Consider the following 25,573-nt stretch of genomic DNA (forward strand, 5'->3'; position numbering starts at 1 on the left):
TTTTTGTATGAGATGAACATTTGAATCAGTAGACTGACTATATGTGGGTGGCCTTCATCCAATCTGTTGAAGACCTACCTGAATAGAACAAAAGGCTGACCCTTCTGTGAATGAGTGAACCCCTCCTACCTGACTGTTTGGGCTGGAACACTGGTCTCTTCCTGCTTTCAGACTCTAAATGAACATTTGTTCTTCTTGGGTCTCAAGCCTGCCAGCTTTTGGACTGGAACTTACACCATCTGCTCTCCTTATTCTCGGGTCTTCAGACTCAGAACTACACCATGGCCTCCCATAGACCTCCAGCTTACCAATTTCAGATCTTGGGGCTTCTCCGCCTCAATAATAGTGTAAGCCAATTCTTTATAATAATCTCCTTATATATATATATACACACACACACACACACAGAGACATATGTAGATCATGTTTGCCACATGTGTGCACGTGCATGTTAGAGGGGAGAAGGAGAGAGAGAGAGACTGTATATGAGTGTGTGCCTACGTATGCACATGTACCTATATGTGAATGTGTGTATGTCTGTGAGTGTCTTAGAGATTGACCACATATGTATGAGTGTGTATGTGTGTGAGTGTGTACATGACTGTATGTCTTTACCCAGGTTTAACTCTCCTTGGCTTTCATACTCAGTATGAATTATTCTACAGAAACATTCCTGCATCTTTCTGAAGTTCTTCAGAGTCTGGACCTCAGCACTGAAGGGTGCTTGAGCAAGGCAGCTGGAAGACAGCTCAAGTGTCACAGACATACTGACATCCCACCTAGCAGCTTTGCTTGAAGTCAAGGCCTTAATTGCACCCCAGGGCCAGGCCCTCCATCCCCTCCTCCCCAACACAGGCTCATTCACATGCACCGGCTTGTGATGCCTCTAGTAAGGAGGCCAGGCCAGCCAGAGAGGAGGGAAGGCTGGAGCGAGCAAATTCCAGCCCTAAAGCAACTCAGAGTGGGGAAGGGGCCCCTGGATTCCTGCCATCTTTAGCATGCACTTAATAACTTAAGGCAATTTTTTTTAAGTGAACAAATGCCCTCTGTCCACAGCAAACAGGAAGGCAGTCCTCTTCCCTGGGCTGCTGACGGGGCCCTGTCTCTGCCCCCAGGAGACACCTTCAAGCTGTGGGTGCTGTCAGCAGTCATTAGGGCAACATCAACTGGACCTGAATCCACACAGCACTCTGGGAAGACCCTGCTCAAAATGCCAGTGGGCAGGACAGGCCCGTGAGCTTTGTGATCTGGAGTGCATTTTTCAATTAACCCTTCTGGAAGTCCATCGGACCCAAACAGGCGTGCCATAGGCATCCTCTAGAGGAAAAGGAAAGGCAGGCAAAAGACTAAGGAGTTCTCCAGACCTCCCAGACCACATAGAGCTGGGACTGGAGGCCAAGCTCCTGACCTCCATTCTACCTGCCCAGCACTTGGACAAAGTCACCTGTGGAGCCCTTCAGTGTTCACGACCCAAAGCCATTCTGGTCAGCTGTGCTGCTGGTTGGAGAGCACAGAGTTCTCTTGTCAACCAGCACCACAAACGTACTGTCCACTGGGTGCCCCACAGAAGCTCAGCATGGAGCCATCAGCTCCCACTTCCTGGCAAAAGTCCTACTGAGACTAGCAGGATTGGAAAAGAGCAGAGCCAAGGAGGTAGGGTCAAGTGGGAGAGAGTCTACCAGAGCCTCTGGGGGCCTCAAGGAGACAAAGGCAAGAAAAAGGCACTCACTGAGGACAACACTGTGACGCCATGCCTTGCACCCCAGGCTGAGGCCTGCTCTGAGGACAAGCCCCCTGCCTGCAATAGGCCTTTGCCGGCTGCCTTCACTGTACCTCTCCCTCCTCCTGAGTGTGCTGCTGTAGTAGAAAGAGAAAGACACTACACGAGGATTTATTCTGAATATGTGTAAATCCATAGCTGCCTTCAGCAACAACCAGGCAGCGTAGAAGCCAATCATGGATTCTCATAAGCAACTGAGGCAGCACAGTATACAGGCTTTGAGAAAACCCTGCTGGAAGCCCTGTCCACAGCACAGGGCTAGGAACCCTGCTAGCATTGCAGACATGTGGGAGGGGCTTGGAAGTCTTGCCAGCTGTACCACCACTGCCTGTTCCCCTCATCCTTCCCCAGTCCTGAGTGCCCTGGAGGAAGAAGCTCAGACAATCTGTGCTTGCGTGTACATAAGTGTATGCGAGTGCATACGCATCGGGCTGGTTACTCTCCCCCTTTCTCTGCCAGGCTCTGTGCCCGGGAAGGAGGCCCCTGCCTATGCAGCACCCAGCCTCCTCAGTAAGGCTCAGCCAAGGGAAGCCATCCATAGGGGATCACAGGGTAGCAGAGTGGTCAGGGTATTTCTTCCCCTCCTGCAGTGCTTTGGGCCCACGTCTCCACAGGGACTGTATCTTGCACCAGGCAGCATCGCTTCCAAAGCTCTGGTTCCTACCCTACCCTGGTAACACTATTTCTCCCCTTGTCCAGCCAGCCCTAGGTGTAACAAGAGCTCCCTCCTGCTGTGAGTCTCTGGGTCTCTCACCCTCTCTTACTTGCTCCCTTAACTCTGCCTCGATCTCTTCATTGTGATCCTTTCAGGTAAACAATTTGGGTATATTCTGCTTCGGGCCAGGCCCCTTCTGATAGGTGAGGATGTGTATGTGTTTTATGTATGGATGCACGTGTGTGTGAGTGCAGGTACTATACACCGCAGTCTCTACACACCTGCAGCTGTGTATGCGTGTGTGTCATGAACATATGCATAGGATACACCTTTTTCCTGAACTTTCAAGGCTGACAGCAAGAAAGCTATCTTCGAGCATTCATCTCTGAATCCAAGTGCCCCATTTTCTCCCATTCTGACACCATTTTGAAATGATTAGCCTAGGTCTCTACCTGGCCCAACAGCTCAACACTAAGCCCCTGGAGGACAAGGTAAAAAAAACGCAGGAGAAAGCAGGGAAGAGGAAGGGAGCGGAGAGGAGAGAGGAACAACAGGAAAAGATGACTATCATTCATTGAGTACCTGAGCTGGAGCACGGATTTTACAACCATTTCTCCATTCTAAAAACCAAGTAGACCATCGTTCATCTCTTTTTACAAGTAAGAAACCAGGGCTCAGAGTCTTCGGATAACTATCCTGAAGGCACACAGCTAATGAGCAGTGAGAGGCGTTCAGCCACAGGTGAGTCCAAGCCCTGGCCCTTTCCACTCCCCTGTGCTATTTCTCAGTCTCCCTTACCCAGAACATAGTCATGGCCACACGGTGGGCACTCAATCAATGCTCATAAAACCGAACTGAAGCTAAGAAGAAAATCCAATGGCATTCTTAAATACAAAGACAAAGCTCACCAGTCATGAAGAGAGCCAAGCTGGTCAATGCCTGTGCTCAGATCATCTTGAACAACATAATGGAATATGTCTATGGCTGCAGTCCTGGAAAAACACAGAGGGCTTCCCGCTGAGCTGCTTCAAGGCTGACCCTTGGTCAAAGCCATGCATGATATTAAATTCCAGGACAAGTGCTTTCTGACTGACGCATGGTTGAGAATTGGAGCCTCAGAAAGACTGAGCTCATCCCTCAGCCTACTCTCTTGGCAAGGCCAGGGCAAGCACTCAACAGCAGATAATTTGCAGACAGTCTATGCTGCTGATGGAAACTAAAATGCCAGGTAATTAACTAGATGGCAATAAGGGTGCTACATAATTGCCATAATAATAATTACTGTCATAATTCTTTGGAAGGTCAGATGGCTCAAAGTTTGAGACCTGTTCAGAGCTCAAAGTGGGGTCTGGGCACACCTGCCCCCTCATAGTAACCAGTGCATTGCCCTGCCCACCCCCATCCATGTTACTCCCCAGCCCTTAGGTAATCTCCAGAACCCAGAAAATGTTACAGCTGTCTGGCCTCAGAGATACCTGCCCATTGTGCCAAAGCTGGCAATGAACTCCTGTTCTGTTGAACTGCTACCAGGAATGAGGTAGCTTCTTTAGCTTGTTTCATCCTCAGGGCGCCCTATTAGTGATCTGTCATCACCTGCAGGCTACAGAGAAGAAGCTGAGCTCAGCCAACTTGCCAGCAGTCTCACAGCTGGTCAATGAGGAAGCCAGGATCCAAACCCAGGTACCCAGGTCTGCCTTGTTCCAAATCCTACTGTTTTTGCCATACCTACTGATGCTAACGCCCTCCAAGCCTGTTCCAATGCCACAGTGCTCTTTATCCACATACGTCTCCCTAAGGAGCCACCAGGAGTGAGGCGACGTTCGCTCAGAGACAGACACATGTACCATCTCCAGATCAACAGGACCTGGGCCCCTACGGCACTGAGTCAGGGCTAACCATGGCACCCCACTCTCTCCACACTGCCTCCTACTTTACCTCCTCTCCACAACAGCTATTTATAATCCTTATTTGTACAAACGAAACAGTGTATTCTGGCTTTTTTTCCTGCACTTTAAATAACTAAGTTATGGATAAAAGAAACAGAATGAAAATGTTATCCAATCATTGGCCTGCCCTGGTGCATGTCTGTGTATCTGGTATTTTCTCCCAGTGCCATTCCGAGTAGATGCCTCGTTTCTCTGCCTCATTATCTCCTGCTCTCCTTTGTGCTTCTAAACAAAGGTGACGTGGCATGGGGCCATGACTTGCTTACTGCCTGCCTGGCAGATGGAGTAGGGCTGGGTCTGTCATGTACCCCAGCCCCTCGGGAATTATAGTACAAGACCTAACATGGATTGAGCTGTGTTGCTATGTGCCAGCACTATGCATCATCTCACGCAGCCTCATCACACCCCATGCTAGCACCCCTACGTCACAGATCAGGAAACTGAGGCTTATAGAGGTCGAGTGGCTTGCCCAAGGTCATGGAAAGTGATGAAGCCAAGACTTGAACTAGGGCAACCAGACTTTGGTGTCCAGGCCCTTAGCCATGGGTAATAGGTTCACGCCTTTGACCACAGCTGGTCAGAACTAACAAACTCCAATGGTGACTCCTATCGCCAACCTGATGGCCCCTGAGGGAGGCTGATATTCAAAGAGACACACAATGACCATGAGATCTGCCAGAACCCTCTGAAGGAGGAAGTATTAGCCCATGGTAGGCATAATATGAAAGGAGAATGAGCTACTCACCAGCCATTTTGTCTCACTCTTATCTTGAGTAATGGGTTTCAATTAGTCAGTCAACAGACATTTGCTCAATGCCAACTCCATGCCAGACCCTGTGCTGGATGCTGCTGATGCAAAAGTGAATATAACACAGTCTTGTCCTCAAGATGCTTAGCCAGCCAGGGAGACAGATGAGACAGCAATAGCTGAGCCAGAGCTACAGACATACACACTGAGATACAGGTCTATCCTTGCCCAAGACGTCAGATTACCACCCCTCCTGCCATTCTATGTGACTTGAAAACTTCCACCTTTTCCTCAATCCATTTTCCATTGGCACTTACTTCATTCTATTTAGCAGACAAATAGAACCTGTGCAGTTCTTGCTGGATTCTTGATATATTCTCCACGCTGTGTTTACAAATACAACTGCAGACACAAATTTCTCCTGCCACCTGTCCTGCGAGGTATGCTGGTGGCCTTTAAATGCTGGATTCTGTTGATGTTCCTGGTGCAGCAGCAGCAGTACATGCAGCATGCAGCAGTCTGCTCATGTCCCCTGCAGCACGGGAGGAAAACGGCACAATGCAGTGGGGACGCCATGGGGCAGGGAGCCAGCAGACCTTGTTCGGGTCCTGGCTCCACTACTGTCTTGCTGAGTGACCACAGGCAAAGCTGTTAGCCTCTCTGAACCACCATTTCCTTGTCTTTAAATTGAGGAAATTGAATAAGGAGCTTCATCAGATCCCTTCCAAAGTCCCGTGGAGTATCTGCATGGCTCTCAGCCCACAGTGCAGTGCTTTTTACATAATACAAAAAGAATGAGTGTGAACAGCTGCTGGTGAGGCAGACCCTGGCCCCCGGCCAGTTGGAGACCAGGGCACTCTGGTACCATGGGTAAAAGCGTGAGATACTGAATGAGCAGACATGGTGACCCCTGGTTCTGCCACTGAGCAGCTCTGCAACACAAGGCAAGTCAGTTAACTTAGATGAGCCTCAGTTTACACAGTAACATGGTGATAACATTTTCTGCATTGAGTTGGTGTGAAGATTATTTGAAATAATGTGATTTGAAGCACATAGCAAAGTAATAGATGCAACCTCCAGTATTATTCTTTTCTGTGCTGCCCTTATTGTCCATGGAGGCCAAGTTCTGATGTCCTAGGGCTGACTCCTGGTTCTCATGGGCTCCATTTTCCACAAAAGGGCTACTAAGCTCATGCCAGCTCCTTCCCAGGGAAGAGAACCCTGCCCTGTCCCCAGCCCACAGGCTGGGCTCAGATGCCGTTGGCCAGACCTTCTGACCACCCAGCCGGCCGAGCTTCCACAGCCAATCCCTGCTAGGTTTGCCCGCCTGCCTAGATCCTGTGACTTCCTCCAGGGAGTGATGGTGCTTTCAGCTGCAGCCTACCCAGTAAATGCATTTCCTGCCAGGCTCCCACCTTCCTCCTGCATCTGCCCTGGGGACTGTTGTATGCCATGTTTGTCCTGCTCCCTGGGGCCTCACAGTGGCCTGCTGGCTAGACGTGCTTTCCTGCCTGTTCCTCACTTCCTGTAACTGCCTCTGGAGCCCCCAGAGAAGCTGTGTGAAATCACAAGAGGGCCTTTCCCATGTAGAGGGTGGTCCCTATCCACGGAGGTCCAAGTCCTCCACCCATTTCCCATCCAAACACGTACACAGTAATTCATGGTTTAGTCTAAGCAAGCAGATCTTTCAACCTAGGTTCTCTCTCCAGCTATTCCTGACTATAGTTTTAAGGGGCCTGTACAGGAAATGACATGAAATTATCAAGACCTTGGGCTAAATTGGACACATGGAAAAGACCACTCAGCAATACTAATAATAAAATATTTCATTTATTGAGCTCCAGGCACTTTGTATACATTTCCTCACTGAACTCAATCCAACAGCTCAGTGACATAGGTACTAACATTATCTGTATTTTACAGAATAGGACTGGACTGGTTAGCAAACGAAGTTTCCAAGATCACACAACTGGTAGGTCCAGGGCCAGGCTGTTCAACTAGGTCTGTCTGCTCTAAAGCCCCAGTGCTAAGCCAGGTTTCTATCCTGCCTCCCAAGACAGTCAAGGTGGCTCTGGACCCTCAGAGGAAGGCAAGAGGGAGGAAACCAGGGCTTCCCCTCCTTACACCTCACTAGGATCTGATCAGATGCTGCTATTCTGGCCTCTGATAACTTCTCCCTTCCTGACATCAGCTTCTTCCTCTACAGCTCTGTAGTCGATGAAACCCGCCAAGACCTTTAGCAACTCCGTATCTTAGAAATGAAAATTGAGACAAAAAAAAAAAAACCTCCTGGTCCCTGCATGCCACTTACATAGATCACAGCCAGAATGAGTCTCTAAAGAGAAGGACTTACAGACTCTGCTAATTGCGTTTAGCAAAATGACGTTCAGCTTCACATGTGGTAGGTGCACACCACTGTTATGCCTTGTGCATTCCTGCTTTGCAAAAACAATGACCAGAGCTTCATAAAGTGGTGCTTCAAGGCAGAATGTTAAGGCAAAAAAGAACAGGGCTTGGCCAAAGCCAGGCAGCACCACTACCTAAGTTTCTTATTTAATTTCCTGAAGTATGTGTGGTGCTGGTTCTTCCTGGATTTGTCCAGGCCATCTCACGCAGTTACATTTTTACTCTGCACAGTGAGCAGAATGTTTTATGTTTTATATAAAAATGAATATACTGCTCACTATGGATCAGACACTGTTGCAAGTGCTTTATCCAGATCAACTCTGCTGATCTTCATAATAATTCTATGGGAGAGGCACTGCTGTTAGTCCTGTTCCAAACATGAGGGAACTGAGGCACTGAGAGGTCATCCAGCTTGCCTAAAGTCACACAGTTAATCGGGGTGGAGCTGTGAGTCAGTCTGCATTTTTAACCACTGTGCTACCCTACTCTGTATTTCCTAGGAATCTGTTCAATATACAAATAAAGATAAATATATTGCTTTACCTTTGTAAGGCTTTTAAGATGAATACACAAGTCAGGGAAAAAAAAATCCTTTAACCATAATTCTTTGGAGAATTTAGAAAATGTGGTCACCAGGATACAGGCAATCATGTTTTATAAGGAGAAAAGATTTTGTAGGTCTGCATGGTGTCTAGACAGGGAGCTGAGAAGAAAGGATATGTCCGTGTGTCTCCAGGGCTGCCCAGAGAACAGGAGCTTCACTGAAGACTACAGGCCCTAGTGATTAGACAGAAATAGCCCAGCCATGGAGAAAGTCATCCCTAAGCTGACTGGGTCTGGAGGAAGCAGGTTATAAAACACTGTTTCCCAAAACCCAGTCCTTGGACTTGCCACAACAGAACCATCTCAGGATTTTATTAAAAATGTTGATTTAGGACCTCACCCTGGACGCATGATCAGAATCTCTCAGGAAGGAATAAAAGGGAGCATAACCCAAAACCCTGAATTTTTAACAAGCTTCTCAGATATTTGGATTACAACGAAGTTTGGAATTCTCTGCCCTAAAAATCTGATGGCTCTATTTGCTGTGAGAATCTGTGCACTGTGCATCCTTGGGAAATATGACCTGGCCTCCGAATAAAGGATGAGTTACAGCCCAGCCCAGTTCCATGGCCAATTTTAATCTAATACAACTATAATATAATAACAACAATAATGATAACTACCAATTACCGAGCACTTACTACATGCCAGACACTGCTGAGTGTTTTACTAATCTTATTTATGTTAACTCTTATCACACCTCTGTGCTGGAGTTATCATCGACCTTGTTTTGCAGAGGGTGAAATTCAGGCTGGAAGAGTGGGTGACTAGCTAAGGATTACACAAAAAGCAAGCAGCAGAGACAGAATTCAAACCCAATCTGACACCTTGACCTTTCTGGTTCTGAGCTCAAGGTCAGTGTTGCGAACAGCCCGCCCTGCCACCACCATCCCCAGGGCTATGATGGGGCTGGGAAGGCCACTCACTAAGGCCAGGGTGTCCTTTACTTGGCAGGGAGCAGCTGGAGGAGGGCTGCTCTTTCTGCCGCATGTTCATTTCAGCTGAGCCACCCGGGGTGTCTGTCCCCAGACGTGGACACCAGCCAACATGCTGGGCTGACTCCAGCTCCCAGAGGCCTGGGCCTGCAGGGTGGGAGAGACCAGCATACCACAAGCACCCTGTGGCCTCAGCAACTAGTGTGAACTTTTCCCTGCTTGCACCAACAACCCGATAGCCCTGGAGCTCGCGGCACTCCTCTCAGGGGCCTCGTCAGCAGCTCCTATCTGGGGATGAAGCACAGGCTGACCTGATAGTGAGTCCTCCCTTCCTAGAGGTGCCTCCCGGAGCTCTGGTTTCCCAGTCAGTAAATGGGGACCTTAACAGGGCCTCACTGGGCCTTTGGAAGGATTAAGTGAGGCGCCATCTGGGAAGCACCTGGCCCCAGGGCCTGCACATCGCAGGCCCGCTGATCTCCTTACTCCTGCTGCTGCCTCCTTTAACTTCATGGCTGTGGTTCCCATCTGCACAGCACTGCCTGGCCTCCCACCCAAACCTTCAGAGATCCCAGTAAAAGATGCTTTGTCAACAGAGGTGCCCCCCAGATCCCTGGGTGCCGTGGGCCTCCCTTTTCACTCAGTCCCAGGATGTGGGCATATCCAGAGCAGGGACCTAACTATCTTGTTCTCTGTGACATCTTTGGGCTAGAGGAGTGCCTGGCAGGGAGCAGGCACTAATGTCTGCTGAATGAGTTAATTCAGTCGCTGAACAAATGGGAATGGTGCACCTGCTTTGTGCAGGTCCAGTGCTGAGGGCAAACGCATCTGGGGCACAGGGCTCTGCCCTCAGATCTGATATCCAAGGCTCCCTCTCAAGGGCCCGGTGCCAGTAAGGCGCCCTTCCCAGCACCCACACCTCTGCTGCCCCAAAGCATGGCTAGTAGCCTTGAAGCCACACTGCCTCCCCCACAGTCTTCCCTTCAGCCAAGCCTCCCAGAGACAGATGCTCAGACCACCCTCTCCTTCTGCAACTTTCTATGTGAGCCTAGGGCACAAGCCAAGCCCAGAGGCCTCTCCTGAAGAGTGAGCAGGTCGCTTTCCTTTGGCCTGGCCACCCTTCCAGAGAGCTGTCCTGAACACCTCGCTGCCCACAACCTCCTGCAGGAAAACCACAGGCAAGGCAACTATAGACACGAGCCAAACCCAGGAGGAGATTCACCCCTGCCCTTCAGAAGACCCCAGAGACCCCACTGTGAACATGAAAGAGCGAAACAATCATGATGTTGAATTGCTGGGAACACAGAGGGAAACTGCCCACTTGGGAGGCTGCGGAGGGTTCCATGCACCCCGCTTCTCACCTGCAAGCTAATGGGTCCATCTCAATCACTTAAGTTTATTTACTGGCCATGAAAGACTTTGCCCAAAGACTGGAAAAAAGGCTGTGGCTGCGTCTTAGAAAGCAAAGGAAAACAAAACAAAACCTTAGTACCAAAGTGTTGGAAACTGCTGTCAAAAGCAGATCGATCAGAAATAAAGAAGAAAGGGGCTCTCAGACAATAAAGGAACTCAAAGGCAAACTGGAATTTGCTTTACACAAGTGTGATATACAGTTTCCAGACACAGTGCCTTGCAGGGGTAAAGGGCACCTGGATTTCCAGTACCAATGGGAAATGAGGGGAGACGGAGCTGCACAGGGGACCCCGATGCCAGTCCGGCACTTGCAGCCTGGCCTCTGGGCTGGCACCCCAGCCCCACCCACCACCATCTCTCTGGGCCTCGGTTTCTTTTTCTAAAAACTTAAGGCATTGGACTGGATTATTCTAAACATATTTTGTGGTTCTAAAACCTCTTCTCACCTCCAAGTCAACATTTTCAAAACAGAGATAGTCAGTTCTGTCTCCTTAGCAAGCTATCTTCTCAAGGGCTTAGAAGGCGTCCTTGTAACTTTGTTGAAGGGCCCTGGAAGGTGCAGGATAAATGTTTTTCTTCGTCGTTGCCATGGAAACTTGTGACTCCTACATCCCTGATGCTAGGACAAGAGCATGCCAAGAGCCCTGGGTGGTTTGGGTTTGTTTTGTCCATACCCACACCGTGTGTACTGAAGGGCTGGCAGAGCTGCAGGTGATACCTTGCCAATAGGAGACACGGCTGTTCCTCATTTCATGACCAAGTTTCATTAGAAACTTTGGAATCACGGCAATCATATAAGTAATACTGAGGCTGCACTGAGGGGCTCCCAGAATTAGAGCACCCTTTGACCCTGAAAACTGATCCCTGATCTTGCCTCTGCGAGTTTCCCTTGGCCTGCCCTGCGATTTGGGGGTGATGCTTTGTGATTTTTCCTGCCACCTCTAATGAGATATGCACTTCAAAAAGGCACCCTCAACAAGCACTGAATGATACAACTTCATCCCTGTATGACTCTCTGATCACAGCAATACGTTAGACTCAGTGGAAATGTGTGTCAGACACCAGGTCTTCAAGGACCCAGACAGAAACAGGTAATTGGCAGGAAGGTAGATATGGTGGTGGTGCTGTCTATTCAGACACTGGGTTGTCAGAAGGAAAATGGGTTAGAAAATCCTCCCAGCCTATATTAACCCTGTAAACTGCATCCAAATTGCTAAAAGATTTGTGCAATGTTATGATTCTCTTTTCTTTGATGGTGGATACTTCGGAAAACAGAAATAGAATTACTTAAAGTGATGCTCCCTTGCTCCTGTTAAAACAGGGGCAAACAATACACTTCCCTGCATGTCCCACATCCACTTCTCAGACCATAGTGTTCCCCACTGGCTGAGATTAATGGGGATGACACTGTGGCTGCTGATGTTTCTCACTGCCCAACTCTGTACCTACAAGTTCTTTCACCCTCCCTCAGGAATCAGGGTCAGCCCAGTGCCATGCAAATAATCGCCTGTGTTTTTGTGAACACTTTAGACCCAAAATCATCCAAACTCCTCCACCTCTCTCCCCTCCCATAGCCAACTGGACACCAGGGCTTCCTCAAACTCCACCTAGATCACCACCGTTATGATGATGATCTCCGCCTTCAGTACCTCTCCCTGGCTCTTCAAGTGGTCTCCCAGCCAGTCTCCCTGCCTTCAGCCTCATTCCTCCCATCCACCTTCCACCTGTAGTTGGGGTGATCTTTCTAGACCACAAACCTCGTCATGCCACTTTCTACTTAAAATTCTTCCATGGCTCTCCAAGGCTTGCAGGATCCAGTCTTAATCCATTAGTCTGACATATAAAGCCTTCCTGGGCTGGCACCCCAGCCCCACCCACAAATGCATCTCTGCCTTCAGATCTGATATCCAAGGCTCCCTCTCAAGGGCCTCATGCTAGTAAGGCCCCCTTCCCAGCCCCCACACCTCTATTGCCCCAAAGCGTCGCTAGTAGCCTTGGGGATTCCTCCCTTCAGCCAAGCCTCCCAGAGAAAGATGCTCAGACTACCCTCTCCTGGAACTTTCCACGTGAGCCTAGGGCACAAGCCAAGCCCAGAAGCCTCTCCCGAAGAGTGAGCAGGTTGCTTTCCCTCAGCCTGGCCACCCTTCCAGAGAGCTGTCCTGACACACCTCGCTGGCCACAACCTCCTGCAGGAGAATCACAGGCAAGGCAACTATAGACACGAGCCAAACCCAGGAGGAGCTTCACCCCCACCCTTCAGAAGACCCCAGAGACCCCGCTGTAAATATGAAGGAGCCAACCAACCACGATGTTGGATTGCTGGGAACGCAGAGGGAAACTGCCCAGTGAGGAGGCTGCAGAGGGTTCCACGCACCCCGCTCCTCACCCACAAGCTAGTGGGTCCATCTCAATCACTTAAGCTTATTTACTGACCATTAAAGACTTTGCCCAAAGGCTGTGGCTGCGTCTTAGAAAGCAAAGCAAAACAAAACTGTGGGAACAGCCTGTCATCTCACTCAGAGCTCCCCTCCTTGTAGATCTAGCCTTTCCCTCAGCCTTTCTCCCTACCAGATAGAGCAAGCCATGGACAGACGCCTCCATGCTACCATAGCAACCTGGACCTCCTCTCCAGATCACTCCTACTTCCATGTTGTCTACATGTTTCTTTATATATCTGTCTCCACCCTGTACCACCCATTCCAGCAAAGGCCACAGTGCTGGCACATGCAATTCTTCAATGAATGAATGAAGAAATCATCACGTGCTTCTCACTTTTCACATGCAAAGAATAATTCCTACCATGTCCTTGTTCCGGAAAACAGTCATGCCAAGCTCAAAGAAGAAGGAACTAGGTGTCAAAAAGAGAATGTAGAGTAAAGAGGTCAAGAACATTGATTCTGGACTTAGGCAGCATGGGTTCAAATCTCTGCTACTTTCTAGTTGTGTAATCTTGGTCACCTCTCTGCGTGTATCACATTTGTGTAAAGCAAATTTCAGTTTGCCTTTGAGTTCCTTTATAGTCTAAGAGCCCCTTTCTTCATTATTTCTGATCGATCTGCTTTTGATAGCACTTTCCAACACTTTGGTGCTAAGGTTTTGTTTTGTTTTGCTTTGCTTTGCTTTGCTTTCTGAGACTCAGCCACAGCCTTTGGGCAAAGTGTTTAATGGTCAGTAACTAAGTTTCAGTGGTTGAGAAGGATCCATTAGTTCGTGGGTGAGGAGCAGGGTGCATGGAACCCCTGCAGCCTTTTCTACTGTGTGGAGAAAGAGTGAATGATATGACCTTCCTCAAGGTTGTTTCAGGCACTAAATGCACCAGTGTGTCTAAAGTATTTGGGAAGGATCTGGTGCATGGAAAGTGCTTGGTCAGTGTTAGTTACTATTATTAAGAAGCCGATGCCTTCTCTGGTCTTTCTACCTCTGCCACTTAGGGAGTAGAGCCTGCCAAATGGCTATAATGTCTTGGATGTTTCTAGAACCTCATTTTGGAAAGTTGTTAATTCCAGCCAGGCTGATCTGTGATCATTGCAAGTTGTTGCATCCTTGAGAGTAAGTAGAATTTGTGGCCTAGGTGTCCACTGTCTTAGCTTCATTCTCTCATGGCAGGAATCCTTAGTAGGCCACCTCAGCTGGAGTGACAGGGACGTGGTGAGGACAAAGGAGCCTCGATGGAGACCCACTCTGGAACTGGATATGCCACCCATTTTAGGTCGGGGATGTCCCTTCTCTGCTACCCTGTCCCCACCGTCCCCACCACCCACCAAGAGCCTGGCTTCTGCACAGGACACCATTCACCAAGTGCTGCTGGAGTCTTTCCCACAGCATGCCAGGGGCCAGGGGTGTGGGGAAGGGCAGGGCTGCATGGAACGGCAGAAAGGGCCTGGCTTCAGTGCCCAGCACATCAGAGCCTCTGTTCCTCCCCTCGCCACCCACTGACCTGATGCGAATCCCATCCATCCCTAGGACCTAGGCTTTTACAACTGCAAAGTGAGGGGCCAGCTGAGATCACTGACTCCTACATCCCATGGCTCTGTGATGTGACTGGGGCCCCGAATGTGCCACGGTGGGTGGGTGTGGTTATTGCTCCCATTTCTTCTTCTGGCGCTCTGGGCTCCAATGGCTTCTGGTAATATTTGCTCTTCCTCACACAGGAAAGGCCTTTCCTAAGTGACTTCCTCACTCCAGGCCCAAGCCAAGAAACATGAACAATAAAAAGCCAGTCCAGTCCTCTGTCACAATTGCCTACAAACTTAATAAAAATGGATTTTGGGGCCCTGCAATAGTGCGCACAAGGCTTCCTCGTCAGCACTGAAGGTCCCCAGGCTGTGCCAGCCCCTCTAGAGGCAAGAAACCAATGGCAGATGGGTCTAGCCAGGACCCCTGGATGCCATAGGTGTGGGAGATCTGGTCCCCTTTGTTCAAGAGGGTATAAATTAGGCCTAACTCTGGATGGTAGCCACAGTGGAAACCAAGCACATAGTAATGGACATTGAGGGGACCCAACCTTCAGTACACACAAGTGGGAGCAAATGTGCCCTGGAAGCCAGGACTGCTAGGTCCTGCTGACTTATATTCAGAAACAGGCCATCCCTATTATTAATAATGAAACACTCTGATACCTGCTAAGTTCCTTCTGTGCTAGTTCTGTGCCAGTCACTATGCTAAGCATTTTGGGTGCATTAAGTCATATAATTTGTTTATTCAAACAAAAATCAGTGAGCACTTGGTAGATGCCAGAAGCTATACTGTGCACTGGGGTACAGTGGGAAGCACACAGACATGACTCCTGCTCTTAAAAAGTGAACAGTCAAGCATCACAATTCCTTTTTATTTTTAAGTTCTAGGATACATGTGCAGAATGTGCAGGTTTGTTACATAGGTATACCTGTGCCATGGTGGTTGGCTGCACCCATCAACCCTTCCTCTAGGTTTTAAGCCTCGCATGCATTAGGTATTTGTCCTAAATGCATCACAATTCTTGAACTTGGGTGTGCCTGCTATGAAAATCACCTGGCCACACCCTCCAAACAGAATCTTCACTTTCCTTCAAGTGCCCCATCTCTAATTCACACTCAGAAACACTGGTCTGGTGCTATGGAAGAAATCTATTACTTTGCTCAGATGAGGAAACTGAAGTCCAGAGAGGCTAAGTAACTTGCACTAGACCACACGACTTGTAAGGGGCACAGTTGGGATAGGATCCCTGCTCTACCTGGTTCCGAGGCAAAGCTCTTAATTACTACACTACCCTGCCTTCCTGAACCTCACCCAAATAATTAGAGCAGTATTTACAGAGTATCAGATCATTCCATTGCTGTGCTATCTTTCCAACTACCAAACCACATGAGGTAGAAAGCATGACTGTCATCCCATTTTACAGATGATAAAAGGGAGCTCAGAGAGTTAAAGTAACTTGCTCAAGTTCACATGAATAGCAGGCCTCAATGCCAAGATTCCAAGTCAGACTTGACCAGTTGCACAGCTTCTGCTTTTTCCAACATTCCATGCTGCTTCTTTGAATGCGCTTTCATAAAAGTAAAGAACAATGAGATGGAAAAAGCAACAACCGAAACCAGTCTTAGCCTAAACAGAAGAAAAAAATGCAGATATCCTGCTAGCAGGCAAGGACTCAGGAAAGAGGGCTTCCTTCTCCCATGGGCTCTGGGTCACCTGTGCCCCCAGGAGCCAAACCCCATGATGGGAAATTCCAAGCTGTGTGTCCATGTGCAGCCATGTGGATATATATGCCAACCATGCCCACCTGTGGCAGGTATGCAGGCCACATTCAGATAAGCGCGTGCACAGTGTATCCAAGCCACACTCCTTGAAATCCTCACTCATGCCTCAGAAAAAAATCACCTTGTTGGCAAGTGGTCTTCCACCATCCCAGGCAGCAGTTGCCACAGGACCAAGAAAAACCACTAAAAAGCGTTTTCCCATCAAAAGAGGTTTTAGCAGCTGGAGTGCATGTGTAAAGGTCAGTCCTTCACTCAGGGGACAGCCAAGCCAGGGGAAGGAACAGAAGGGAAGGCTGAAGAAGCTCCCTGGGGGATGGTATTTGAAATTCTGCATTGTCCTGAGCTACCTGCATAAATGCAGTGCCCAAGGGAAGGCCTGGATCCCAGGGGGGATGTGGTCATTTGGCCTGCATCAAAATGACAAACACTTCTGTGCAGAGCATCAACTAGCATGCAAGGAAAAAGGTGGGGTGGGGAGCACATCACAGCACACCAGAAAAGAACAGAGCTAACTTCTCCAGGAGCTGAGACACCCTGGGGAGGTTCCCAGCTTTAGAACATTGGCAAACAAGCAGGATTAGGCCCCTCTTCTCCCCAGCCACTCAGCCAAGCTGCCACTATAATTCCTTTCCCAGGTGTCTGTGACACAATCTGAGCCCTGGTATCCCTGAGAAGGCTTACAAGCCCAAAGTGAGCCAGTTGTTTGAGCTACCCTTGAGCCACATCATAGTTGGAAGATAGGGTACACAGGGAGGAGACCCAACCATCCCATCTGCCTTCGTGGACACCCACTCCACCTCCACACCCCTGTCAACCCAGCCAGGACCTGAGGCCATCGGGACTCCCTGTCTTATCCTCCCCATGCACTAGATCCTGCCACTGCTGCCTCTTTATTCTCTCCATTTCTGCCTTCCGCTCTCTGTGCCAACCACACCAACCTGCTGCCTGAGGCTCTGTCACATCATCTCTTGCCTGTACTTGAGGACATCCCAGCGCTTATCATCTCAGAACCTACAATCCCGTCTCTATAGTCCTCTACAAATCAAATTCTGCCACTGCAATGCTGTAAAAGGTATCACGGCTCCCATTGCTCACTGGATAAACACAAAATCTTGACCGTGCCTTCGAAGCCTTTCCCAACCCAGATCCAGCCAACCTACCTAGTGTTATCTACTGTCCACATACTCTGACCTCTAACCATACAAATACACCTATTCCTCAAACAGGCCTTGGTATCTACTGCAGTAGATACCCCGAATGTTGATGATGTCTTCCAGGTTTCTCATCCTTCCATCTTATAAATTATCTGAGGACCTGGCATAGAGCAGGCACTCAGATCAATTTTCGGTCAGATGGATGGATGGGTGGGTTGGGTGTGTGGGTGGGCAGATGAGTAAGTGGGTGGGAGATGTGTATGGATGAATGGATAGATGGGTAGGTGGATGGATATGGAATCTTCTTTTTTTTTTTTTAACTCTTGTCATTTTCATCTGATGCCTCTCTGGGAGGCAGACAGCCTGACCAGACATTTTCAAACACAAAGGCAGCTTGGCTACTACTTTTAAACTGATTAATATGAAGGATGAAAATAATAATGCCTATGTTGAAGAGCTGCTGTGAGGATTAAATGAGAAACGTACAGAAAGTATTTAGCCTTGTGCATACACATAGTAGGTGCACAACAAATGACAGCCACTGCTGTTGGAACAAGGTCCTAATAACATGTGCATTCCTTTGCCTTCCAGTGGGCAGGACCCAGGTCCTCTAGCTTCTCCTAGTTCTGGGTGAGACAGATCTTTCCTGAAGGCTGGAGTGAAGGGTGGGGGTGGAGGCAGCCACAGAGGAGCTCCTGACCTACTTTGTGCAACTTCAGGCTCAGGTAAGGCCCCTAGACAGTGAATGATGCAAACAGCATTCAAAGCCAGCTACAGATAATAAGGCCTGTGGGACCAGGCACTCGGGGTGGCTTTCTTCAGCATGGTCTGCTCAGCCTCTGGCAATGCCCATGGCCTGGGCCTCTATGAAGTTGCCAGGCATGCGTCCCTCCCCACAAACAAAGGAAGGCAGCCCCGGTCATCCAGGCTGCAGGAAGCCCCTCTTTGATACCCATTCAGAAAGACAACGAGAGTTAAGACAAACCTGCTCCACAGGACCTGCTTGCTCAAGCAAGCCCCTGCTCGAGACCCTGCTACCATGAATCTTAGGGTTCTAAGCCATCTCCCTGAATCCATACATTCCCTTCTATCCCATCCTCTACGCTGCAATTGGGGTGAGCAATATTAACATAGATCTGATCCTATCCCTTCCCAGCCTAAAATTCATTCCATGCTTCCTTAGGAAGTCCAAATTCCTTAGCCTGGCATTCAAGGCAGCCCTTCCAGCCTCTCAGCCTGCCCTATATGTATGCTCTATCTACCATTCCTGGAACGTACCATGCTCCTTCAAACTGACAGGCCCTTGCATGTGCCATTCCCTCCGCCTGAAACTCCCAAGTTGCTCAGAGAGTAAATGGCTGAACCAGGACTCCAGGCCCTATCTTCTGACTCTGAATTCTAAACTCCTTTGGTGGAAAGGGCTTGGGGATTCCAGAACAGCCCTACCTCATGATGCAAGATGCCAGGACAGACCTTTACCATTTTTCATTTCCCAGATTTTCTAAATTTGCCATCATTTCATATCACTGTGTGACACTGTGAACAGCCAATGGTTGCATGAATAAAGCCAGCACAGGCTGCAATCTGCATCTCCAAAAGTTTGAATAGCTCAGCTGCAAAAGTGAGCACAGGCTGACATTTCCAATCAATCTTGTCCTTGCCTTCAGTTCCAGTGCACTGCATGGAACACCCTAGTGAGACTGCAGTAGGTAGAAAAAAGAGAGAGGCAGCCTCTGTCATCCCAAGCCACAAGGAAACATCTTTCCAACACCCATTCAGAAGGCACCAAGCACTAAGACAAAACTGCTCCATCCAACACAAAGACCTACTTGTCCCAGCTAGCTTCTGACCCCTGCCACTGTGCTCACAGGAACCTCTGCATGGCCTCCATGTCCTCTGACATCTGGACCTCCTGGGGTTCCTGAGCCAGACCCTCCCCATTTGCCAGAGGGAAGGCCTCTGAAAGCCTCCTGCCCATCTGCACAAAATCATTCACTCCTCTCCATCAATAATGACTTTGCCCATCTAAACAAGTTCTGAATGCAGTAAGCCTCAGGCACACAAAAATAAACACATGCACAATTTATCACTTTTCCCAGCTTGACCAACTCCACTTTTGCAGGCTAAAAGTTTCTTATCCAAGGCAGTACATGTAAATTCAATTAACAGATCTCTATGCTGATGGCAGAAAACTCAACACAAATACAAATCTTCTTTGCTAATCACAATAGATGTTTTCCTGGTGAACAATAGATGCTTCATCTACACTTTCACTCATACTAATGTACTTTATATTAGCTGTTGTGGCAGAGGCTACTAGTTAGAACACTCAAATTATGGCTGGACACATGGCTTCCCAGAAAGAAGACTACATTTCCCAGCTTCCCTTAAATTTTGGCGTGCCTATGTAACTACAGTATGGACAGTAGGGTATAAGAGAAAGTGGTATATGTAACTTCTCAGAACTGTCCTTAAAGAGAAGGGATATATGCTTCTCCATCCTCCTTCCTGCTGGCTAGAATGCACACATAATGACTGGAGCTGCAGCAGCCGTTTCAGACCACAAATCAGAAAGCTCAGGTTGAGGATGACAGCAACAAGCTAAAAAGGGCCCAGGCCTGTGATCCTGGAAGAGCTAGACCAGTCCCAGACTGCTTAACTCCAGCCTTCTTGAATTTGAGAGAGAAATACACTTCTATCTTGCTTAAGCCACCATTATACTGTCCCTGCTGCTAAATCTAATTCTAACTGATACGGCAGATGACCTAAAAAGGCTTGGTCTGCACTTCTAGGAATCTTCATCTATATCAGTGCCAAACACTGCTCATGAGACCATTCTGTCCCACATGTTTGGGCCTCTTTAAGGGGCTTCTTCCATCCAAATGGAATAATTGGCCCCAGTCCTTCATAAGAAGTTGGCACTGGCACAGGCCACCTTGGTCCTTAAGTGCTGCTCCACCCTTCTATCTGGCCTGACCTTCCAGTCTGATTTCCACTGGCTAGCTTTTCTGGCCTACAGCTCTTTCCCATTATCCCCATTTCCTCCCCAACATTGCATACAGGTGGTTTTTATTTCAAGTAGTGGTAACCTTCTTTGAACTGTTCTAGCTACAACCCTAGTGGCTGGGCTGGGACCCTAAGCATTGACCTCCCCTGCCCTGACACACTGGAGGAGAACCTAACCCACACAAATATCCTTGTAGACTTGCTCCCTTCCTTATTCAGCCTACACCTGAAGAAGGGTGGAGGAGGGGAGGAAGTCATGCTGGGGAAACAAAGTCAAGGGCCTGTCCTGGTTGATTTGCTTTCTCAAAAAGCCAAGCTGCCAGCCACCCAGCTCTGGCCACTGGAGCTTACTGGAGCTGAGGAAGGCTCACATTATACAGTGGCAGATGCCATTGAAAAGGCAGCCTGTGCCTCCAGGACAGGACTCTGATGGCAGCCCTAGAGAGCAGAGAATCAAGCAGCATTACAGGGTGTTACAAACCAATGCATCCAGTAGGCAAGACACAGGGGCAGGGACTGCTCAGCTCTGAGCTCCTGCAGAAAACAGGCACCAGTTGTCCCAGTCCAGGTGGAAACACAGGGTACAGTGTCTAGACCACAGTGATAGCTTCCAGCCCACCCTGGGATCTAGTCTCCTGGATCAGCAGGTTGCTAACACCTCTTCCCCAAAGGCTTCCATGCTTCGGACCTCTCAGAAAATGATGCAAGGGGATCTCAAGGCAGTCCCATTCCCACAGTTTTCCAACTGGACACATTGATTGTTTAGCACTCTGCAGTTGGGGAAACTTGGCCAATCCTTGTGCCATGTGAGGCCCAGAACTGTGTAACCCCCATCCTCATCCATTGTCACACAGGGCTCTTCTGAAAGCCTTTCTTTTCTCTCCTCACCACCTACCTCTTTCTCTCTAACTGGCCGTAATTTATAAATAAAGCATTTCCGAAGTTGTCCTAGATTCTCAGATTACAAGTGCATAGGATACTCATTGACACAGACAGGTAAGGACCACAGGAGTCCCATGCCATGGGAGTGTACCGTCTGGAGCAGCATTATCCAACAGAACTTTCCGCAATGGAAATGGTCTAGATCTGCGCTGTCCAAGGTGGTAGCCACCCAGCCATATGTGGCTCTTGAAATGTGGCTAGTGCAACAGAGCAGCTAAGTGTTAATTTTCTTTAATTTCACTTAATTTAAATGTAAACAGCCACATGTGACTAGTGGCTACCATCCTGAATATTGTAGTTCCAGGGGAGTTACACGAATAAGCCAATAGTTGTCTTAATAGAGATTTAATTGTTATTGCAGTAAGCAGCATGGAGAGGAAGAGCAACACACAGTGAGGTGTGCAATGGGGGAATTTCACCTTTCCTGGGGGAGAGGGAACATCACTCTGAAGCAGTCACATTTCAGTGGGTGATCCAACTTTGGATATAAAACTGAAACTCTATACGGTACCAAAAAAAAAAAAAAAAAGCCCAGAAGAAAATAACCAAAAACATTTTTCAGATACTCTATAACAAGTTCACTTTATTTATATAAAGAATAAACTTCTTTTAAGTGGGTCAGCTCAATACTCTACATTTCTCTCTGAGGAAAATAAACTAAATAAAGTTGCTACCCATTTATATGTGGGCCAAACCTGATTTTTTTTTTCTTATGCAACAGAGGTCTGTCATAGAACAAGGTGTTCTTCACCCTCCCCTGAAGGAAAACGGACAAGTTGGCGTTAAGACCACTGCCTTAGCCTGCGCTCTTCAAACCCCATGACTTCCCTTCCACCATTAGAACCTCTAGTGCTTGAGGTCATCTCTGAAGTCATGGAGCGGAAACAGATTCCCAAAGCCCAGAAATTTCCAAGAACTTTGGCATCTTTGAGCTTCCTTGAAATCAAGGGTGCAGTGGCCTTAATTTCAGACTGGGGGGCTGTGATAGCTTACTCCCATGGAGAGAACAAAGCAGGGTGAAGGCTTTGGGAAAGTTGATGAGAGCCAACTGGGAGAGCCACCAGGTAACTGCCCATTTTCTGGGCTGCAATAAGAACTTTAGAAAGGAAAATTGTCTCACGCTTCCATGTGAAGAGACCACCAAACAGGCTTTGTGTGGGCAACATGGCTGTTTATTTCACCAGGATGCAGGCGGGCTGAGTCCAAAAAGAGAGTCAGCAAAGGGTGGTGGATTATCATTAGTTCTTATAGGTTTTGGGATAGGCGGTGGAGTTAGGAGCAATGTTCTGCGAGCAGGGGGTGGATCTCACAAAGTACATTCTCCAGGGTGGGGAGAATTACAAAGAACCTTCTTAAGGGTGGGGGAGATTACAAAGTACATTGATCAGTTAAGGGTTGGGCAGAAACAAATCACAATGGCGGAATGTCATCAGTTAAGGCTATTTTCACTTCTTTTGTGGATCTTCAGTTGCTTCAGGCCATCTGGATATATACGTGAGGTCATAGAGGATATGATGGCTTAGCTTGGGCTCAGAGGCCTGACAAAATTGATAATGTATTCACTGAAAAGAAGGAAAAGGAGAAAGCAGCCATAGGCCCTCTGGAAATGCAGGTCTTCAACAAGAGGCAGGGTTTCCAGGCAATGAGCCATGCATGTGAGAATTGTGGTCACCCACCCCTCACCTGCCATGGCCAAAATCTGGAAAGGAGCCCAGGACCCCAAAAAAGCTAGAAACTCCTCCAGCTGTCCCCCTACCCCATTCTTTCAGACATCCACATTATCACTCATCATGTTGTATCAAAGTTATCTTTGAGCCTTTACCTTCTCAAAAAGACCAAGAGCTTCTGGAAGGCAGGCCCTGGTTTGATACCTCCCAGCACGGGGCCTGGGGGACAACAGTTGTGACAACTGGCTATTGAGTAAATGCAAACAGCATATGGGCAGCATAGTTTTCAAATCCCAGCCCAGCTTCCTAATGGCCATGAAACCCTGGGCAAGTTACTTAACCTCAGCCTCAGAGTTGGAATTAAGTATGAGAAAGCATTTCAGGGTCAGCCTAGAGCCCTTGTAAGGGCTCAACAGCAGGGGCATACTGTGGACAAAGCAGGGATATACTGTGACCCTGCTAAGAACAGAGTGATTCCCACAGACCCCACACCCTTATGCAAAGGACTTGTCTTTGACCAGAGGCTAAATCCAGCATTCTAGCTTCTGCATGGTTCTGTCAGCCTTTCTCAAGAAAGACAACAGCCTGGTTTATTAAATAACCAGGTCCCAGCCTCACCTCAGCTCCAGGTCTCTGCTCCACACCCAGCCCCTGACACCCCACCCACATTCCTGAGCCACTCCAGACTGAGATCAGCAGTTTGTCAGGAGCCACAGCTTCCCATGCAAGGGTCTCAGCCCTGGGCTTTGCTTACTTGGGTGAGTTTAATCTAGATCAGTAGTTTTCAAGTAGTTTTCAAGCTATTCACCCAGGACCAACAGAATTAGTGTCTCCTGGGAACCTGTGAGATATGCATTCTGGGGCCCAAATGATATACCCACTGAAGCAGAAACTCTGGGGTGTGGGAAAGCAAGCCCTCCAGGTGACTCCGACCTACTCTCAAGTTCGAGAACCACTCTGAAGTTTGGCCTAGTTTTCCTTTCTTTATCCCACCGCTTCCTGCTTCCAGATTAGTTATCTTCCCATGCCACCAGGGCGCTGAGGTCCTGAGTAAACCTTCCCACCTGCTGCAGGATTTCAGAAGACCCATCTATGTATACTTTGCCTTCCCAGTCAAGCACCTGGGGCCAGCCACGACTGGAACCAAGACACTGCCAGGCAGCAAGGCTGCCCCTCCAAAGCCCACCTCCACAGCTCCTGTCTTGTCCCAGGGCATGGACGGGACCCAGGCCTCTGTCACCCCCTCCCTGCCTGCCTCTCCCAGAGTTCCACAGGCCAGAAGGAATCCAAGATCTGGGTCCTGCCTCCATGGAGGGGAGAGGAGGGGTAGTCAGGGGAGGGAAAATGCCTTCAAAACTCACTGAAGGAGAAATGGGAAAGCCCCTGGGAAGGCCCTTTATGGAAAGGAGAAGTGTGGAGAGGACTGAGAAGCACCAAGCTCCCCCCCAGCACCCCCACAATTCCCACCCGATGGCAGACACTGCTAACCAGCTGCCCCCGGGAGCCCTTCCAAGTGGTCCTCTCTTTAAGTTTCACTTCCTGCTGAGCCAAGTCGCCCGCAGCTGGGTGCCAAGGTCGCCTGCCATGTCCCTGATTGCAAGTCCACAGTGTAGCTGAGAAATCCATTTAACTCTTAGAAAATGCATGGGCACATCCCTAAGGCAGCCCCGGAAAATTTGCCACAGAGGACACGAGCGGCTCGGGCTCTGCCTGCCTGATACTTCCGTAATTATACATTGATTACTGCTCCCCTTCTGCACTGCTGGCCCACCGCGCAGCACTTCGTAACTACAAAAGGGTTTGCCAGTTACAGGCAAGGGGAATCAATCTTCTGTTGAGTGATGCGTCCTCCCCGGTGGTCACCACTCCCTCCGCTGACTGGCGGCTTCTTCCCGACTCAGCTCAGCAGACCAGTTAGTACCAAGCACCCATGCACCTGTGAGGACAGCAATGTTTCTGGAGCCATGGCTGTGACCTCCTAGTCCTGCCAATGCCCTTCCTTACATCTCAGTGGGCTTGTTCCCCTTTGCCACAGCCTGGCCTTCTTTTCCAGGAGCCACTGGCTCTGGAAGAAGCATTATCACTGAGTGGAGAGGGGGCCACAGAGAGAAGTGGGGGACCACCGTGACGGGGAGGCACAGGTAGCCTCAGGGACACCTGTAATCTGTCTCCAGCATGTCTTTCAGCATGTCTTTCATGAAAGACATTACCTGTGCTTGTCAGCAAGTGTTACTTGAAAAAAAAAATGAGGGGGAGGGATGGGGAGCTAAACTTCTGAGATGAAATTCATTTAAGACACCCTGAAAGTTAACCAGGCTTTCTTACTATAAAGTGTCTCCAAGCCTTTAGTGTGATTAATGTATTTAGGTCATTCCTGATACAGATTTTCAAATGTATTTGTTCACAGAACTCCATTCCCCAGAGCCTGGAATGGAACTGATGTTCCATGGAACATCTTTTGGGAACTGATGCTATCTCACCGGCTATGTTGGAAGAAGTGTGGCTGATTCCCTCACATGGCTCACACACAGCCAGCTCTCCCCTAGACACTCTACTTATGGAAAGTGTCAGGGGAGAGGCAAG

General features: G+C 48.8%; 1 protein-coding gene across 6 annotated transcripts in view, besides 2 other annotated features; it reads right to left on the reverse strand.

Annotated features, from left to right (window-relative positions):
* The window catches only part of GALNT18 (polypeptide N-acetylgalactosaminyltransferase 18), a 351,129-nt gene that overhangs the window by 258,374 nt on the left and 67,182 nt on the right, over positions 1-25,573 (reverse strand). The window lies entirely within an intron of this gene.
* Positions 8,839-9,667: an enhancer, noted in NCBI's record as "H3K27ac-H3K4me1 hESC enhancer chr11:11559636-11560464 (GRCh37/hg19 assembly coordinates)". NCBI's record gives its function as "activates a minimal SCP1, AML or CMV promoter by ChIP-STARR-seq in naive H9 embryonic stem cells {active_cell/tissue: H9 hESC(naive)}" and the evidence as "EXISTENCE:reporter gene assay evidence [ECO:0000049][PMID:30033119]".
* Positions 24,331-24,500: an enhancer, noted in NCBI's record as "experimental_18916 CRE fragment used in MPRA reporter constructs". NCBI's record gives its function as "activates a minimal promoter by MPRAs in K562 erythroleukemia cells, with activity observed for both the introgressed and non-introgressed 11:11575213 variant alleles {active_cell/tissue: K562}" and the evidence as "EXISTENCE:reporter gene assay evidence [ECO:0000049][PMID:34662402]".

The sequence above is a fragment of the Homo sapiens genome, chromosome 11, assembly GCF_000001405.40.
Source record: "Homo sapiens chromosome 11, GRCh38.p14 Primary Assembly".
Classification (NCBI taxonomy): Eukaryota; Metazoa; Chordata; class Mammalia; order Primates; family Hominidae; genus Homo; species Homo sapiens.